Below are 19998 nucleotides of genomic sequence, written 5' to 3'. Positions count from 1 at the left end.
GGCCCCTTTACTTAGGAGGCTTACAGAGGGTGTGCTTCAGTAAGGTGAGAGAATAAACCTACAAAGAAAGAGATATGAGATCCAAGAAAAGAGGGGATTCCATCCAGAAGGGCAGCCAAAGGCGGTTCCCACATTCTGTTGATGAGAAGTCACAGCACAGCAGCTGTTGGAACAGCTTAGAGGGCAACTGGCCCTGAAATGACCCTGGAATAGAGATACAGGAAAGAGGTCTGTATGAGCACACATGAAATATTATTCAAAGGCATATGGCAGGAATGCTGGAACATTTGGGAAAATAATCTAACTCCAGATATATTAGAAAATACGGCGAAAGACAAAAAGGAGGTCATTAACTCTATAAAAAGAAGACTTTGTCTATAAGCAAAGAGGCATGGTTAAAGGATACTATGCAGAATGTGTAGCTATATTACATTGTCATAATAAAATTAACTTAAAAAGTAAACTAATTATGAAGACTCCCAACGTTATATAATTTCTGCTATCTGGCATAGTCCCTGGGCAATTCAAGGGGAAAGACAAACAAAAAATGAGTTTAAAACATTCCTACAGGTTTTCCGTACAGTACAGAGTAAATTTCATAGATTCAAAACTTACTAAATGAAGCATTCTCATATGGATGCTTGGAATCTGGGAAGCTAAGATTGACTGAAACCCAAATACTTCTCTTTACTTTCATGAGCTCTACTAGACTTCTGAGACCCACAGGAGAATACATCAAAAGCATTATTATGTTGTTCTATCAGTGAGACCATTGAAGCTGCATCCACAGTGGTGCGTGTGGACAACAGAGATCAATGGGCCTCTGGCTTCCCTGTTTGCATGGCACCTCCCCAGACCTAGCAGCCACACAGCATCTGGAGGCTCATCGCGCCTCATCCTATTACAGTGCTGATTTTTCTGCATGAACTTGCCACTGACTAAAATCTACATTTATTGTCTGTCTCCTGCACTGGAACTGAGCAAGCTCCAGAGGACATCACTGCATCCATTATTCACCGTTACATCCCTTTATATTCAAATATTTAAATGACTGAAAGAACAAAGGGTGTAACTGAAGGGAGTGGCATGTTTCTCCCATGTTTCTTATGGGGACACTCCGCCTTGCTTGGATGTTGGCTCTGGGAGGGAATGGGCCTCAGGGGATTCTGATGCCAGCCCCAACCCTGCCAGGCTTTTCAGTAACTATCACCTATTCTCCCAGTCTTCCATCTAGCCTAGTTACATCCATTCTTGTTTCTCCACCTTGGGAATTTCATGGATCCCAGAGGCATGTACTTTAAATGAGGGAATCTTTAGAACACAACTCTTGGGTAATAAATCAAAACCTCAACAATATGGGCTGACAGTCCCACCCTCGGAGCTCTTATTCTTATCTGCAGTGGAGGGGTAGCCACTTCTGGGATGGGATCCAGCAATCCATAAGCTCGTGTTCCAACACAAAAATAAATTACACAGAAAGATGTTCACCTGTTGAAATACCAGAGGTACTTCCTGAAATGCCCTGCCTGGAATTTCTCCAGGTAGATAATGGCTGTTGGTGGAGTTATTCTCTTATTCCTACATTCTCCATTATTCCTTAGTGTGCCACAGTCTACAGGATAATTCAGATGAGAGGGGCTGGATCAGGAAGACGAAAAAGTGGATAATTCAGTGGATAATTCAGACGAGAGGGGCTAGATCAGGAAGATGAAAAAGTGGATAGTTCAGTGGATAATTCAGATGAGAGGGGCTAGATCAGGAAGATGAAAAACACTCTTTCTACATAAAGAGGGATTCCTAAAGCAATCTCATTAAGAAAACTGTACGCTGTGGACCAGGTATTTGAAATAATAAAAAAAAATTATGTGCAAACATAGTTTGCCTATCTTCTTTAAATATGCTCCAGCCATGTGGTTCATATTTCCTCACTCTAGGTAGAAACCATGTGCCCTTGAGGAAGGTGTCCTCAGAGTCACTAAGTCCAGGACACGATTCTGGGATGTACAAATGTTGACTGAAGGTATGAATTTGGAAGTCGGACCGACCTTGGCTTGGCCCTGGGCTCTGTGGCTTACTGGCTACATTTCCCAGAAGCAGGTTATTTACTCAAACCTGAGTCTTGGTTTTCTCAATAGTAAAAGAGCAATGATAATAACCAACCTTACCAGATTGTTGAGGATGTAGAATGAGATAATCTGAAGAGAGCGCTTAGCGGCATGCCGAGTGCAGTCAGTACCAAAGAACTGCCACAAGCAGAGTGGTCATATACTCTCTTTCCACAGGCCAGCCTGGGAAGCAGTACAACCCTGAAGAATCTCTGCAGACAGGTCAGTGGGAAGAACTAAAGCTATCAGAGGGGTCTGGATATATCCTACAGTGATTGCAACAAGACTATAAGTACCCTTGCCAGTTAGAACCAAGTTATTTGGAATATTAGATCTTCAGTCACAAGGATAAATTTACGCACCACTATTTCTCCCTAGTATGGTCTGAATGTGTCCCCCACAAAATTCCCATGTTGAAACCTAACCCCCAGTGCAACAGTATTAAAAAGTGTAGCCTTTAGGTGGTGATTAGGTCATGAGGGCATCAGTCTCATGAATAGGATTAGTGCCCTTTTATAAAAGAGGCTTACGGGGGTGTGCCTGTCCCTTCCCCCATGCGAGGACATAGCAAGAAGTCACCATCTGTGGGGACGGAGCCCTCACCAGACACCAAATCTGCTGGTGCCTTGAACTTGGACATTCCAGCCTTCAGAACTGAGCAAATAAACTTCTGTTGTTTACAAATTACCCAGTCCAAGGTATTTTGCTATAGCAGCTCAGACTAAGTTACCCTCTAAACTCAAATTAAGAGAAAATAAGTTATGAGGGGAGAAAAGGGAGGGCATGCACACGAACTTTCTTCAGGAATGCTGCCTGCTTTGGGTTGGCTCCATTCTGGATTTCAGTCCAGCCACCTCCAGTAAGGGGCAAGTGAACAGGTACTTTTCAGAGTATTTGTTTTTTGGTTTCTAAAGGATGCCATTATCTCATTTCTTCAGAAAATCATGAATAATTTTAGTTCTGAATGTTTGAAGTAATATAAGAATAATGTCTGTAGGCAATGTTAAAACAAGAATCTAAAAATGAGACTGTAAGGCCAGCAGCACGAATATGGTTGAGTGGCTTTTTAAACTTATCATTATGAGGACTGCTACCTGTTTCAGGCAAACAGTGTTCCCCAGGCTGCACCAAAATAACATCTGAAGTTATATCACTAAGAATGAGGTACTTTTCAAACTGTGCTTTTATGGTTTCAAAAGGGGATTTTTGGAGTTTTTAATCCATAAGTGGCCTGGAAGATGCTCACAACTGATGCTGCTACAAGGTGCTGCTGCTTTGTAACTAAAAGTGTGAAGGCACTGAAGGTAAACAGTCTCCTTAGCACAGACACTTTGGAAGCAGCAGCAGCTCAGCCCCAGGTACCACGCCCCACCCTGCCTTAGAAGTAAGCATCTGCAATTAAGCCTTCTACTTAAGCTAGTCTGAAGAAACTTCCCACCGCTAATCTTCCGGTAAGCACCCAGACCCAACCGGAAATTTGGTCTCCCCTACCCCCTTCAAAAAAGATAACCCGTTTTGGGATGGGAAGAGTGAAATCCTAATGTCCTGGAATGCGGCTAGTTTCCATTCTCATGGTTAGTAAATCTGCAGAGCTTTCTGGCTCTTGAGACCTGACTGAGGCTTAATCTCTGGCTGTATCAATCTGCATTGGCATTTCCAGGACAGACCATGCTCATTCAACAAATGTCTGGAAAGTAATGTCACAGAACAAGGTCAGTGGAGAAAGGAGAAATAAGAGAAGAAATATATTGAATTGGGTCCCTTGGGATTATGGAAATAGCATTATTATCAATAAAGAGATTAATGACAATGGGGTAAACATTTTTAAAACTTAAAGCTAAACATAAAGCTAATGACATTTGTGAACACAGGATTTATCTTTTTCACATCCAAAGATGTTACTCTAGAATCTTTCCGATATTTTCTGGAAGCTGATTTGACAGTGTTGTATAATTATCTATAAAGACAGATACTTCTTAATTTTAATTTTAAACATGCTGTCTTGTATTTAATGTCCGTTAGTTTTCTGAAAGAGTTTAACAGAGAACTAAGTCTCCACTCTATTAAGTTTAATGCAAATTAAATAAAGAAATTGCAAAAATGCCTTCTGGTTATAGACTATGTTTATTTATGTACATATTCATTAGGCACATACTACATAATAATAATGATTATAGAAATAGCACTCAGACCGTGCTTACTATGTGCCAGAACCACTCTAAGGCATTTTGCAAATACGAACATATTAACTCTTAACAATGACTCTATGAGGCAGGGGCTATTACTACCCTTCATTTTACAAATGAAGAAAATGAGGCCCAAAGATGCTAAGGCATTCAATACTTTACCCAAGAAAACCCTCGCTCTACCTTAGCTAGAGAGAGATGGAGTTGGAATTTGAACAAGGCAGGCTGGCTCCACTATAGATGCTTCTCATGACTACCATGTGGCCAAGGAAGAAATTGAGGTGCTGAGAGGTTAAAGCCTCCCCCAAATTTGCCATCCCCACTTTTGGCAGTAGTTCTGTTGCTCTGTGCTTATGTATCAAAGCTGAGGTTTCTGAAGCTTTTTCTGCAGTTTTCTTCTGGCTCTTTTCTCGAATACTGGTTCATGGGTCATCCCACTGGGATGTAAATTAGAATAAAGTATCTGTGTCCAGCTGCCATCAAGAAAGCACCACATCGAATCACATCAACTGTTCTCAGGTAGAGCTCAGTTAGCTTCTGCTTTATTAGATTCAGAGAAAAATACCTCACTGAGATTCCCTAATTGGTTTACCTAATAATACTGATTTTTCCCTCACACCGGTTAAGGGATTCTGGACAGATCGGCACAAAAATGCTATAAAATAAACCTGCCACAATAGAGGCTCTTTGCTTTCAGCCATCCTGTCAGATCCTGAGATATGCACTCACCTTCTCACTTGCTTTCTTTAGGTCTCGAGGGAGCAGCTAGGCTTATACTCCTGAAGGCAGCCCCCAAATGCTGTGTGCATCGCGTTAAGAAGCTTGAAATGGTTTTGAGTTAGCAAACCATTCCTGATGCTCTACAATCTGTTCTCCAGCCTCAAGAATTGAGAATTATAAGCCTTAAATGGAATACATTCTGGACAAAACAAATAAGGTAATTTACTTGTCTTTTTTTTAATCTCTTCCTGGAAACTGAATGTTCATTCATTTATAATCTCTTGGTTTACTATCATGACACATTCAAGTTTCAGTGCCTGGGAGAAATAGGACTCCCAAGAACTTCAAAATAGGCTTATTCCACAGATGTGTTACAGAAGATTTAAAAGTATTACGAAATATATCTGGTCTGAATATTAGGGTTGGCATATTTGTATATGAAATAGGTGGGTTAGCTCCTTCTTTATTCAGGCATTGTTCTATCTGTCAAATAAGAAAAGCCTCATTGAAAAGGGGATATCTGAGCAAAGTTATGAAGAAGGTAAAGGAGTAACCACAGAGATGCTAGGGGAAAGACAAGTGCAGAGGCCTGGAGGACAGGTGTGGCTGGCATGGGAGGAAGGAGATGGAGAGATAATGGACACAACCTGTCAAGGACCATGGCTGTCTTCAAGGAGAATGGGACTCTACTGTGAGGTTTTGCATCCAGGAGAGAGGGCTCAGACTCACGGGTTAGAGGGAGCTTTCTGAATGCTCTGTTGGGAAAAGACTGCAAGAGGGAAGAACAGAAGCAGGAAACAGTTAACAGGCTAATGCAATGATCCGAGGGGTTTGAACCATGATGGCAGTGGTGAAAGCTGGTTGTTTTCTGAATATATTTTAAAAGTACAGCCAATTGGTTACCAGGCATGCATGCATGTATGTATGTACGTATGTATGTCTTCCATACTAGTATTTAAGCAGTCTTGATCTGTTTTGTGTTCTGCATTCCCAGGGCCTAAAACAGGACCTGGTACACAGAGTTTACAAATATCCTGTTAAACAAGTGAACGAACTGGCCAGGGTCCAAAGTGCTTCCAAGTGGTTGGGCTGGGATTCCAATCTGGGCCTTTCTCTGGCTTCCAAATCCCAGATTATCATCACTATGCTATTCTACCTCTGCTAACACTACTTTTTATCAGGAATAAAGTTTTTTCCTAGCCTAAGTTATACTCAGCATAATACATTTCTCAACACCAGAATAAGGTACACTGTATCACTAGCCATCTGCTGTACAGTACCGATGTCTGGAAGATAAAGGCCAGGGATGGGCAAAAGTCCCAAGGTGCTCTTAGATACTTCAAGACTCTGCTGTAATCCCAGCACTATGGGAGGCCAAGGTGGGCAGATCACCTGATGTCATGAGTTCGAGACCAGCATGGCCAACATGGTGAAACCCCATCTCTACTAAAAATACAAAAATTAGCCAGGCGTGGTGGCATGTGCCTGAAGTCCCAGCTACTCGGGAGGCTGAGGCACGAGAATCGACTGAACCCAGGAGGAGGAGGTTGCAGTGAGCCGAGATTGTGCCACTGTACTCCAGCCTGGGCAACAAAGCGAGACTCTGTCTCCAAAAAATTTAAAAAATAAAAAATAAAAAAAATGATTCAGGCTCCGCTTTTGACTAGTGTGTGTGTGTTTGTATGTATGTCTCTGCACGTGTGTGCTCACGTCCACCTGTGCTGTGTATAGAATTCGTTGTCTGGGGAAGATGGTGTATTAATAGTATTCTTTAGTTAAACAAACTATATGGAAGAGGAATTACTTTTTGTCATTCTAAAGAAAAGGAAAATTGAGCCAGGAAAGTAGTCTTTAAGAAATTGGCCAGGGTGGGGCATGGGGGTGGGTACAAGCCGATGAGCAATGAAATATTTTGGAAAAGATTGTTAGTCAAGATGAGTCACATATTCTGAGGAAAGTCGATTTGCCTAGAATTTACAGTGATCCAACTACTAATTAAGAAAAAAAAAAAAAACAACTTTCCAATAGAGAGGACTGGTGACCCCAAAGCACTCGGGAATTCTAGTGGTCTGATTCCAGCGAAGACCATCTCCCTTGCTGCCCTTCATCAGAGGGCAACACAACACGGGGCTGAGATAACTTGCTGGGTTTAAATACTGTATGTAACTAGCTGAATGTCCTTCAGCAGCTACTCAAATTTTCTTGGTCTCAGTTTCCTCATCTGCAAAAAGAGATAAAATATTATTCATCTCCTAGGATTATTAAGTCAGGATTAAATGAATCTCCACATGGGACCCATTTAGAACAGGGCCTAGCGCTCACATTGATAGCTGATGCTTATTCAACCCTTGTACCTTCAGCTCGTGGTTTGGTCTCTCACCTTGCTGCCAGTGGAGATATCTAAATCCTCCCCAACTTGTTCAGGTAATTAAGAAGGGAACTCGCCTGTCAGTGTTTGAATACAGAAAAAGAAGCCTTGCATAGAATGCCTGGGATTCAAGAGAGGTGAACTTGGAGCAGCAATTTCAAGATCACAAAACTACTGAGGTCAGCATGAGGCTGGCTGAGACGATGACGCCCTGGGTAGGGTGAATACACTTGGGAAAGCCAGTATAGATTTCTGAGTGTTATATAACTACAGCTTTTAAAGAAAATTCTGAGAATTCAGGGAAGTATATTATTTGTTCTTATATCATTACCAGAAAAATAATTATTTAATATAAATCTATTAGACTATCGAGGAATAGCAACTGTGGCTTCTAGTAGTAACCCTCTCAGACCAGACCAGTACAAGCCCTTCCCATGGACAAGAGACAAGTCATGGACAGATCTATCAACACTTCTGATTCTGTTTCACATCATAGCAATAGCTGGAAAAATAGTATCTCCCTGCACAAATATTAGCCCTTGAGTGATTGTTCTTTCTCTTAAGAGAGAGGGCATGCTCATTAAAGACCCAGAGGTTAAGCTAGAGCAAACCTATCAAATGTGCAGATGACAATGGCAGGGCAGTCAGTTACTTTAAAACACAGATTACCAAAAGAAAGGGACAAAGGACAGTAAGTAAGCATAAGACTTTTAAGGCCCGATGTAATACCAAGAAGTCACTTATACTCTGCTTTGCCATTTATCTTCTTTCCTTGCTTTATGAAGTTTCAGCTAAGACATGAATCTAAAGCAATTACAGAAATGAAAACCTATGAAGTGACATTAAAAATCTGTGCCCAGCAAACACTTCTTTATTAATGAATCATTTCCAGTCGGAGATTTATTTCTCTATCGCTGTGGTCTGAATGTGCCCCCCAAATTTGTATGTTGAAACCTAATCCTCAATGTGATAGTATTAAGAGGAAGAATGTCTTCCCTTTTGTGGCTATCACTGAACTGGTAGTGGCCAAAACGAAGTTTAATCCCTTTGTGACTTTTGACTGAAGCAAGAACCACAAAATGGCATTTCAAGGCACCTTTCCACATTCGCAGGAAGATTACGTCTTCCTCTCTTTCCAAAGAGCTGACACAGAAGTACAGTGTTTGATCCATGCTCATCTGAAAGGATGATGAAGTTCAGGCTGTGTGAGGACACTATAAATGTCAGCAAACTGGCAAAACAGTCAAGGTTTACAGGAAGAAATGTGTCATCTACACTGAGCAGGTGCAGTGGGAAAAGGCTAATGGCACAACTGTCCACATGGGCATTCACTCCAGCTGTTACTTCTAGGCTGAAAGTGAACAGAGACCAAAGAAAGATCCTTGGACAGAAAGCCAAATCTCATCAAGCAGGCAAGAGAAAGGGCAAACACAAGGAAGAAACAATTGAAAAGATGCAGACATAAAGTAATCATATGTAGAATTTTCATTTTAAACTGGTAAAATGAAAAAAAAAAGGCAAGATCTTTGGGAGGTGATTAAATCATGAGGGCAGAGCCCCCCCCCATGAATGGGAATGGTGCCCTTGTAAGGGGCTGAAGAGAAAAGAGTTCTTCCCTTCCACGACTTCAGGACGCAGTGAAAAGATGTCCATCTGTGAGCCCAGAAGTGGGGCTTCACTAGACACGAAATCTGTTGGCATCTTGGTCTTGGACTTCCCAGCCTCCAGAACTGTGGGAAATAAATGTCTGTAGTTTAAGCTACTCAAGGGTATGGTATTTTGTTACAGCAGCCCTTAAGTCCTTAGTCCTTAAGTCCTTAGCCCTTAGTCCTTAAGTGGACTAAGACACTTACTATGCAGAAAACTTTAAAAGATCCCTTAAAAACATAAAACCAGACATATTTCCTTTGGGAATCTTAAGAATATATTGTTTAAAAAAATCACTCCCAGAGGCTATTAATGAGAACCAGCACTCAACTGGAACAGGACCAGACAGGGCCAAGCTATATTCCAACAAAGTGGGGTGACAAACCCCAGGAGAGCCCAGGGGCGTGGCCCAGTGGACCCTCAGCACCATCTTGCACTGTGGAAAAGTCAAATCATCACCCAGGTGAAGTTCAGCTACAGGATGAGTGGGGGTTGTTACTAATGTTACAAACATATGCTCAAGGTAAAGACTGCAATGACTCAGACTTCAGAAGTCTTGCTTTATACAAGGGGCTGTACATGATTTTTCAAACAAATGTGAGGTGGAGCATATTTGTAAAAATTATTAGGTAAGCTGTTGATGTGAAGATACTAATTTATGTTTATTTTTATTTTTAAGAAACGGAGTCTTACTCTGTCACCCAGGCTGGAGTGCAGTGGCTCAATCTTGGCTCACTGCAACCTCCGCCTCCTGGGTTCAAGCGATTCTCCTGCCTCAGCTTCCCAAGTAGATGGAACTACAAGTGTGCACCATCATGCCCAGCTAATTTTTGTATTTTTTTTAGTACAGACAGGGTTTCACTATATGTTGGCCAGGCTAGTCTCAAATCCCGACCTCAGGTGATCTGCCCACCTTGGCCTCCCAAAGTGCTGGGACTACAGGCATGAACCACAATGCCCAGCCAAAAGTACTAATTTTAAACTTTAATATTGTTATAATTGTAAACTGTACTAAAAACAACCCAAAAAACTTTTGTCTTTTTTTAAACCAGTGGCCTTTTGCTTGAAGTGTAACTAACCCAAACTATGAATATACATTGGGTGAATTTACTTCACTTATATTAGTTAAGTAAGGTATAGAAAGTACCTAGCCCAATGCCAGGCACAAACTAGGTGTGAAGTGAATGGGTAAGAGAATACAGCATTAATTCTTCGATTACTTCCTATGGTCAGAGAAGGAGGGGTTTGCACACACGTGGGGGACCTAGAAAATAGCAGCTTATGTCTTTTCACTCACATGTTTATGTAAGGATGGAAACTGTTTAAATCAGCATTTCTGATGGAATCTTTTAAAAGTAGTTTTTTTTTCTTTTTTTAAATTAAAAAGTAGTTTATATATTTACATGTCTTCATTTATTGATGATTCACGGCTGCTATCTTAGCTACTATAATACACATAAACACCTTCTGTAGATGTCTAATGTTTTAGACTTCCAGTGTTCCCACATGGAACCAGGCTGCTAGCTATTAATGTCTTGCCATCATTCACAAGTCCAGAAGTTCCCCAACCTCTCACAATTATTTGTATTTATAATCCACTTCACAATTCCTGCTTTGAATCTACTGAGTTTAAAAAACAGAAAATGAAATTTTAAAAATTCACAGGAATATAAGCCAAAAATAAGGTATGAGTGAAAATTTAGCAGTGAAGTGCATACTTTCATACCCATCACATGGAGAGTGATTTTCTGAGCTCAGAATTATTTTTCAAATATACAGGCAGATGAGCATGGGGGCTGGTACAAAATAAATGTGTGTATTTGGAAGTTTGCTTTATGTTTGGGAAAAGAGATTCACAGGCTTGTACATAAATACAAAACATACAATTATTTTTATAAGGATTAATTCATTCATATTATTCTGAAGTCCAATATTTTTCTTAACATTAAATGTATGAATTACTATAATGAACAAACAATATTCAATCAAGTCAGTTTCACAGATTTAAAAATAACGCTATCTTGAGGAAAGTATAGTTCCAAAATAACATTTAGAAGATTTTATGTTTGGCTTGTAATTCGGAATCTATGCTCCTATAACACCTTTCACAGCTATTTAAAGACAAACTTTTATATTTAAGAAGTAATAACCAATAATATTTCCCCTTCTGTGTCTCTCCTTGAAGTATTTAGCACAATGTCATATCATTGTTCAAATGACAAATTAAATGCCTGTAATTGTAGATATAAATAATTATAAATATTATAAATGGCTACACCCTGTTGATCGACATTTGAAATAAAAAAGGAAATGTAATAGTTGACCAATAATACAGTTGAAATCAAGTTCTGAAATAATTTTTCTGGAATAAAATGTATCCTTAGCCAAGGGCTCTGATTTACGGTCAATAAAGATCATGATAAAAAGAATGCTAGCAGGTAAAGTATCTTTGAAATACTATTACTTTTACTTAAAACTTAATTAGATTTCACTATATATAATCAGTGGAATATTTTATTTTTTTCAACTATGATCCTAATACATACCTTCTGAGACATTTTAGTCATTGATTCTCCAAAGAAGAAATTTAAATTTTAAGCATCTTAATCGGTTTCTTTCCTTTCTCTTCTGTACAATTTAAAATGCAGAATAACATCCTAAGTAAATTCTTTTCCATATAAATACAGATTTCCTTCTCCTTTTTCTAATCATAGCATTTAGTAGTACTTTCTGGTCTGGGGCAAATTACACTAATAACTACAATCCCCCACCCTCCCCAACAAATGAGTATGATAATATAATCATGCGCCTTGGAGGATTTCTTGGATAAGTAATTTTAAACAGTCCAAATATAAAAAATGAATACTAAATCAATAGCATGCTTAATCCCCACTAGGTCCAACTCAGATTACTTCTTTTGGATGGAAGCTTCAGGCCTTTGTGGTGTCCCATATCTTAGCTTTTCAGAGAATTCTGTCCTCACAGTGTTGTTTATAGACAGTGATGGAAGAGAAGAATCATCACAGTAAACATGGAGAGTATGATGTTCCGAATTTTCATTTGTCCCTGTCGCTGAGCCACTCTACAGCTTCTGAATAAGTAAACTGAATAACCCGCAATAAACTGTTTTCTCCCATAAAAAATCAGTTGCATAAAAGGGCAGGTTAATGATGGGAAGGCAGCAGGATGTTGTTTAGTCTAAGGGTGGACAATTTTGGGAGGCTGATGGCTCTGGCCACCCTACAGCCTTTCGTGTTTCCGATGTCACTGGGGATGCCTGGTGGCCCTTTGGATCCCCCGTGGGTATCCCAGGCACTTTGGCCTGTCCAGGATTCCTGGCCTCGTTTTCCTGTCTGTCCTTCTTCAGTTGTGTCAGTGGAGCACAGCTTTGGGCAGGTGTATAAGCCACAGGAACATCAACAAGCCTTCCTCCCCAGAATTTCCATATACCCCTAGCCAGTAACCAAAAGAAAAAAAGAAAAAAACTTGTGCAGGATCAGTATCATAGGAAACAAAATCATTTTTCTGTGCCGCTAATAAAAACAGCTACTGTGCCTTTTCTTGAAGACCAAAAAGTAAGCCCTGGGGTCTTTATGAGTTCTATTTACACAGGTTCTCGTGATGGCTAGATTTGTATAGCAAAAATTTATTCCTGTAAATATTATGTTAAATTTGTAAAATTGGTTTTTCATCTTTCTTGAGGCTTCTGTTCTTACTCTGCAGCTAGTTGGTAATTGATTCAAACTTCCTTTCATTCACTCATTGGTCCTGCAAGATAAACATTTATGTAACAAGGGCTGTGGGCCAAGTATGGGGATGCTTGGGATGGGAGTGGAAGTCATCAACAGATAAGACACGTAAGAGTTCCTAGTCTAGTGTGGAAGACAGAAATGAAGTCGGCAGACTGACACAATGTGCGACGTGCTGTAAGAGGTAAAAGAGGAAAAGTGTTTCAATCCAAATTCCACTATTTACTGGCTAAGCCCAGAGCAAGGTAGTTGAGTTTCCTCACCGATTAGAGTCTGTAATAAATAGGGTTGAATAGGGTTGTTGGGTGGGTTGAGACTGTGCTTGTCAAATGCCTTGTACATAAAGGGCACCCAACAAACAGGAGGAACCATGGTTGAGAATAAATTACTTCCAGAACCCAGATGAAGGAGGAATGAAGCTCCTGGGAAGTATGGGAAGGAATTCTCAACATTTTCACCATGGTTCACAACATGGAAAAGTGGGAGACCGGGACAGGCCCTCTGAGCAGAAGGAACAGTCTGAGCCCAGTCATAACCCATGAATATGGGGAATTCACCGCCCCCGGATGAGACAGGAGGAGCAGGAGCTGGCGCCTGAGGACGGTCATGGAGCAGGCTGTGCTCCTGGAATCATCTGGAGCTTCCAGGCCAGCCTCCAGAGCTGAGGAGACCAGGCCAGGAGGCTGGTCTACAACTTGAAGTCAGGAGCAGCCTCGATCCAAGCCATCCATTTATCCGAACATGCCAGGAAGCCTCACATGGGATCTAAGCCAAAGGAGAGGTTCTGTGTGTTGTTTCAGGTCAGATCTGAAGTGAAGGCCTGCCAGCAAGTGACACCAGGCTGACTCTTTGTGCTCCTACAACCGTTCTGAAGGTGTCACCCACGTCAATGCTGGCTGAGGCTCTATGTTCCTCCTTCTTCCTATTCTTGAAATTGCCCTTGTTCATAGATGAAAATAAAAACAACCAGAATTTGTGAATTAGTAAAGGATCTTCAAAATCAACATTTTTGACTTTTTCCTTGACCATCACTGGCATCTTGTTGCTCAATCATTCCTTATAGTAATCTTCACCCCAGGCTCAGACAAAATGTTTTGGAGTAAGAACTCTTTAAGTTTTTCTCTGTAAAGCTGATGAACATGAAGGATAAAATACATTACATGAAAAACTTCATATAAACTCATGTATAAGAAGGGCCCTCTTCCCCTGGAAGAACAAATTCAACTAGCTTCTCTGCTACACAATGGATTGGGACGTTACATTAGTAAAAAATTAGAAAGACTAGTGGGTAAAATCAAACTTTCCACTCTCAGATTTACTGTGAGCTATGTTTAAATCAGCTTCATTCCCTGGACATGATGAAACCAATATTTAAAAGCACAAATGTTCCCCAAACAAGGCTTTTCATTACGGTATGTAACCAAGCATGCTGTCAGAATGAGGCCCCTCAGAGCACAGCATAATGATGTGGTATCCACCATGGGCATGCTGGGGGCACCAGGAACACTCTCCAAAACTGTAATCAGGGTTCCTTTCTCTTACACAGACCATAGCACAGGATCTGATGCATTAAAAATAATCCAGAGGCGCTTATTATTATGCATTATACAAACATCTTTCAAAACCAACCAATTTTGAGGTTTTAAACTATAGGTACTTATTACAGGGTTGAATGACACAAGACAGTTTCAATTATTTTAGACTTTTAAAAATCAAAACATTCTGCATGCATACTACAAAACACACAATAAATCCCACAGCTTGTTGACTTAAACGAGCAAACAAGACTGTATTTCTCATGCCCAAGAGACTAGAACTGTCACTAAAACTTGCTATGTATAATGCAGTGGGTTGGCTGTTTGCTGATGGAGAATCCCGGTGGGCCTTCTTTTAAAATGAAAAGGACAACAACAACAACAAAAAACTTTAATGTTGCAAAAATATTTCACTAAAAGTACCACAGAAATGTGAGTCTGAATATTTAATTTCAGGACTTTTTGAAAATTAAAAGTAGCAAATATTAGAAAGTCAAGTTCTGTAATCAATAAGGCATCTATTACTACATAAATTGCCTTTAACAGGCTAGGAAACTATTGATAATATTGAGAATGTGTTAACTAATTTTTCAGTAACATAAAATCCAGACGGCAACAGTAGTGGTTTGACTACTTTTTTTTTTTACCACCGCCAGTCCCTGCTTTGTGAGGTTATGGCTGTACAAATAACCATATAACCCAAAACCATGCAATGAGTACTTAATAATCAACGGCAAAAATTATGACTCTTCTGTGACCTTTTAAAACTTTTTGTCAAAGCGTTAAAACTCGCTTATCGTCAGTTATAAATGTGAAGGGAAATGAACACTATAAAACAGTAACTGACAACATAAACACACTGAGGTTTTAGACTTTCAGTCTTTCAGTTTTAAAAATGTATCAGGAGTAGTCTGAATGGTGTGTGACTTCATCTCATCACACAGCATACAGTATGGCGTGAGCATCTTTTTTATGGTTTGGCTAACTGCCCTTTGTAAGTTTGGGTCAGCTTCCAACATTTTATCCTTTGTGCTTTCTGAGAACTCCTTTAATGTAAAGCTTTTTGATGATATCACTTCCTATGGGATATCTTTGTCCTTTCTGTCAAAACCCCATTCCTCATTTATGCTGATAAGTCTGCCTTCCCTGGGTTCCTGTTGGCCTATCCAGAGTCTCCTCCCAGATCACGAGCAGTGTCAACATCCCCACCATCAGCTATTTCTTCTACACATGCTTGATTCTAATTTGACTGCCACTTTTCATTGCCCTGCTGTGTTTCCATCTTTGTTGACTAATTCCATCTTTTAAATCTATTTTTGTAAAATTCCACATGAGTTATCACTCTTGGTGGGGAGGCAACACAAGGACAACCTTTCCTGTCTGTGTGAAAACTGAATAATAAATGTGCACAGAACCATCACCAGCAGACATGGAAAGAAGGGGCATGATTGGTCATTGATCATGATGAGCACCTGCTATTTACAGAGTGATTTGGGGAATGAAGACCTAACTATGAGGTTTGCACTTTATTTAATTACAGTTAATATACTATGGTAACTAAGATTTGAACTGTGACGTTGGGGAACTGGTTTTATTTAACTAAAATACGAGAATTGAAATTAATGCAGATTGAAACCATGCAAAGTGAAAAGTAGTGATTGGATGGAATTCAAATTCACTAGACACTTTTGTTCTAATTCAATGGACTACAACAGTGTATTTATTTATATTGGGGCAACAATCAGATTCCCAAGCTTTGCATAAACATTCAAAGTTGAAAAAGGCATCTGAATATAGGAAAACTAAAAAGTTCTGAAAAATAAATCACCTATCCTTTTTAAAAAATTCATTCAGGCCGGGTGCAGTGGCTCATGCCTGTAATCCCAGCACTTTGGGAGGCTGAGGCGGGCGGATCACAAGGTCAGGAGATTGAGAGCATCCTGGCTAATATGGTGAAACCCTGTCTCTACTAAAAAAATACAAAAAATTAGCCACGCATGGTGGTGGGTGCCTGTAGTCCCAGCTATTCGGGAGGCTGAAGCAGGAGAATGGCGTGAACCTGGGAGGCGGAGCTTGCAATGAGCCGAGATCGCACCACTGCACTCCAGCCTGGGCGACAGAGCCAGACTCTGTCACAAAAAAAAAAAAAAAAAAAAAAAAAAAAAATTCATTCATTCATTCATTCATTTTCAGACAAGGTTTCACCCTGTTGCCCAGGCTAGAGTGTAGTGGTGTGATCATGGCTCAATGCAAACTTGACCTCCAGGGCTCAAGCAATCTTCCCCACCTGGGATTACAGATGTGAGCCACTGTGCCTGACTTCAACTATCCTTTTAAATGCAATAAAAATTGAGCCAACAGAACAGCAGAATATGCTAAGTGCTTTATATCTATCTTCTCATTTAATCCACACAATCCTGAGGAGCCTGAGGTTTCCAGGAGTTAATTAACTTGTTTGCCAAGTGCACCCTGATATTGAGTGGTAGAGCTGTGATGAAACCTGCGTGTATCCAGCTTCAGAGCTTGTTCTCAAACCTTAGGTAACATGGAGCCCAAAGCAATTTCAGGAAAATGGCAAAAGTCTTAGAAATTACCACCTCCCCCTAACACAGGACAATGCTGACCCAAGGCACCTAGTTCCACTTCCTAGGTATGGCCCTCAGGCTGCAAAGCTGAAGGTTACCCATCTGAGGAATATCTCATTTTGTTAAAAAAAAAAAAAAGAAGGCAATGGAAAAGAAATCCTTTTTTTTTTTTTTTCCTTTAAAGAACTGCTACTACAGAAATCTACCACCTAATACATGTCAGTAATACGATGTGGCTGATGCAAAGTTACTCAGTTAAAATTCAACATTTATTTCCAAGAGAAGGTGGACTTCTGGTTTTCTCCATTAACAAAGTGTTTTTCTATCCTTTAAGAAATCGCTGAGTCATGTCATTGGAGAAACTTTTTGAAATAGTACTTGAAGCAATGTACCTGTATTCTGATTGGTTGTATTCATATATAAAAACACGATTTCAAACATTTAAAGAACAGCATAGAAGGCAATCAGATATGATGACTTTTTGAAAATGTCTATCACATATAGGTTAAGAATAGTAGTAATATTGCCAGGAGTACTTGTTTCAAAACTCGTTAAGTACTGTCTTAATAACATAGATGGCTGCAAGCATGTTACTACAGGTCAACTTTTTAATATTTACAATTTATTTCATATGTCATAAAAATCTACAATCACTATATTTTAATCCAGTCCCATTTTACTCCCAGCCTTTCCCTCCACTCCCAGGTACAAAGAGATTGAGCAAGCAAATGGCCCATATATAAAACGATATATTTAAATTTCATTTTTATTTGTAGTTTCAATAGGTAATTTTCTACTTTGTCTTGGGATCTTAGCTGCTCTCAGGTGCTCTGCAAACCTCTTTATTAGATTTCCTTAAAATTGGCTGCAGATGAGGTTGAAAATGCTTTGTTGCAATTCTTGGAGAAGAACAGGTGGAACTATAGTGTCCCTTTCAACCACATGATTCCATATTACACTGCCAGGAAACATCTTATCCAATCAATGTGTTTCTTAAGTTGACAGGTAAATCTTTAAAGACTAGAGTTGCAGAAAAATCAAAGCATGAAATATGGGTATGCAGAGAAGCAAAAGATAAGGTGCTGAATAAAGAGTTAAAATATCTCCTTAGTCTTTTATTCACTCATTTGGCAAATACATAACATACATAATAGGTAAGCCCTGCTCTCAAGGCAATGAGAAGTGAATGAAAGAATGACAGAGTTCCAGCTACTATGGGACTGTGCTCTAGCTGGGCAAGGCACCCAGACAATTAGATTAGAGTGTAATCAACAATGTGTCACAATTAGCAGACAGCACTACGTGAACTTCAAAAAAAGTCATTAAATGAACAGTGTGGGGCTGTGGGAGGCAGGAGGAGAAGGGGCCTTCTAGAAATGGTTGTTGCCCAAATTAGATTCCGAGGGACATGAAGTTCACTTGAATCCTTATTCATATTCACATATGCTGTATGGAATGCCAGGTTAGAAAACAGGATGTGCCGGAAATGTAAAACTATTAGGACTAACTATTATACCTTACACCTCCTGGAAGGGGTTAAAGTAGTAAAAATGATTGCAATTTATTATCAAGGTTGACTGATATGTCTGGGAAGGGACATGAATGTTTGCTTATAGAAACACATAAAAAATGATGAGTTCATGTCCTTTGTAGGGGCATGGATGAAATTGGAAATCATCATTCTCAGTAAACTATCGCAAGAACAAAAAACCAAACACCGCATATTCTCACTCATAGGTGGGAATTGAACAATGAGAACACATGGACACAGGAAGGGGAACATCACACTCTGGGGACTGTTGTGGGGTGGAGGGAGGGGGGAGGGATAGCACTGGGAGATATACCTAATGCTAGATGACGAGTTAGTGGGTGCAGCACACCAGCATGGCACATGTATACATATGTAACTAACCTGCACACTGTGCACATGTACCCTAAAACTTAAAGTATAATAATAATAAAGAAAGAAAGAAAGAAATACATGCCCTTCTGTACATATTGCATTCATTGACCCAAATGCATAAACCTTCCTGTACCCCCTTACAAAGTTCAGCAAATTTTAAACAAAATAGGAGTTTGTTCTGCCTTGCAAAGCTGTTTAATTCAATTGGCCTTTTTTTTTTTTTTTTTTTTTTCATAACAAGCATTGTACTATATAATACTGCTCAGGTAAAAGACTGACTTTTCTAAAGCGTAAGTCTAATTGTAGTACTCTCTTCTTGAACCTGTTTCATGGCTTTGAAGTTTCTAGCCTGAGTAACTGATCAGTATCCATCTTGTTTTATGGCATGGCTACTGTACCAGGAGAGATACAAGTGAGAAGTTTGTGGGCTGTGTGGAAGTGAAGATGACCAGGCCCCTCAAAAAGAAGGGAAGTGGAGATGCTCCCACTGGAAACTATGAAAAAGGAGAACAGAGGCTGTACTGGGGCACCAGGAAGGGAGAATGGAGGCTGAGGGCAGTGGCAGACAAGAAAGCTCCTGCAACTCCAGCTTAGTCGTTGCATGTGAGATACACTGTTATGGCGTAGGTGGAAATCAATTCATTTACGCAACAAAAGCAATAGACATACCAGTAATCCTTGCCCAAATAAATTCCTTTTCGTAGTCAGGAATCATACCATCTGATCTACGCTAGTTCACTACCTTTAAAAATAATTATTAATCTCTTAATTTAGATATAATCTGAACCAAAAGTCGGACATAAGGAGTAATTTCATTGAAGATCAAATTATGTAAACGGTAAATCCTCCAGCATTAAAATCAAATTACACAGTAAGAAAAGGTAAGCTGTAGATGGATAATTTCCCAATATTTTTGCTCTCAAACAGAAATAAATTAAGGTTTGGGGAATACCCTTTGCCGCTCTGTGTTAGCTTTTCCAAGTTCTGTCAATCAGAGCTGCTCATTCTGTAACTGAGGCAGGATGACTCACTTTGAATTACACTGAAGCCGTTCCAAAGTTATTTGCAGTCTGGGTCTCTTAACATGCTTGCTCTGCTTTCATGTAAACACATTCTTGAAAAGTGTTGGCGAATAAGTTATCATTGTTGAATGAAAGGAAAAGTAAGATGTGATGGTCTGGAAAATAACGAAAAGTGGCA

At 39.8% G+C, this 19998-nt stretch overlaps 1 protein-coding gene and 1 pseudogene across 6 annotated transcripts in view, besides 1 other annotated feature; one reads left to right on the top strand and one right to left on the bottom strand.

Moving 5' to 3' along the window:
• Nucleotides 1–19998, bottom strand: part of FAM110B (family with sequence similarity 110 member B) — a 154262-nt gene that overhangs the window by 26752 nt on the left and 107512 nt on the right. The gene's annotated exons all lie outside the window — the stretch shown is intronic.
• Nucleotides 3356–3929: an enhancer, noted in NCBI's record as "NANOG hESC enhancer chr8:59030663-59031236 (GRCh37/hg19 assembly coordinates)". NCBI's record gives its function as "activates a minimal SCP1, AML or CMV promoter by ChIP-STARR-seq in naive H9 embryonic stem cells {active_cell/tissue: H9 hESC(naive)}" and the evidence as "EXISTENCE:reporter gene assay evidence [ECO:0000049][PMID:30033119]".
• RPL26P26 (ribosomal protein L26 pseudogene 26) lies at nucleotides 8370–8892 on the top strand (annotated as a pseudogene).

The sequence above is a fragment of the Homo sapiens genome, chromosome 8 (assembly GCF_000001405.40).
Source record: "Homo sapiens chromosome 8, GRCh38.p14 Primary Assembly".
In the NCBI taxonomy this organism is placed as follows: domain Eukaryota; kingdom Metazoa; phylum Chordata; class Mammalia; order Primates; family Hominidae; genus Homo; species Homo sapiens.
This window is presented reverse-complemented; position numbering and strand designations above follow the sequence as displayed.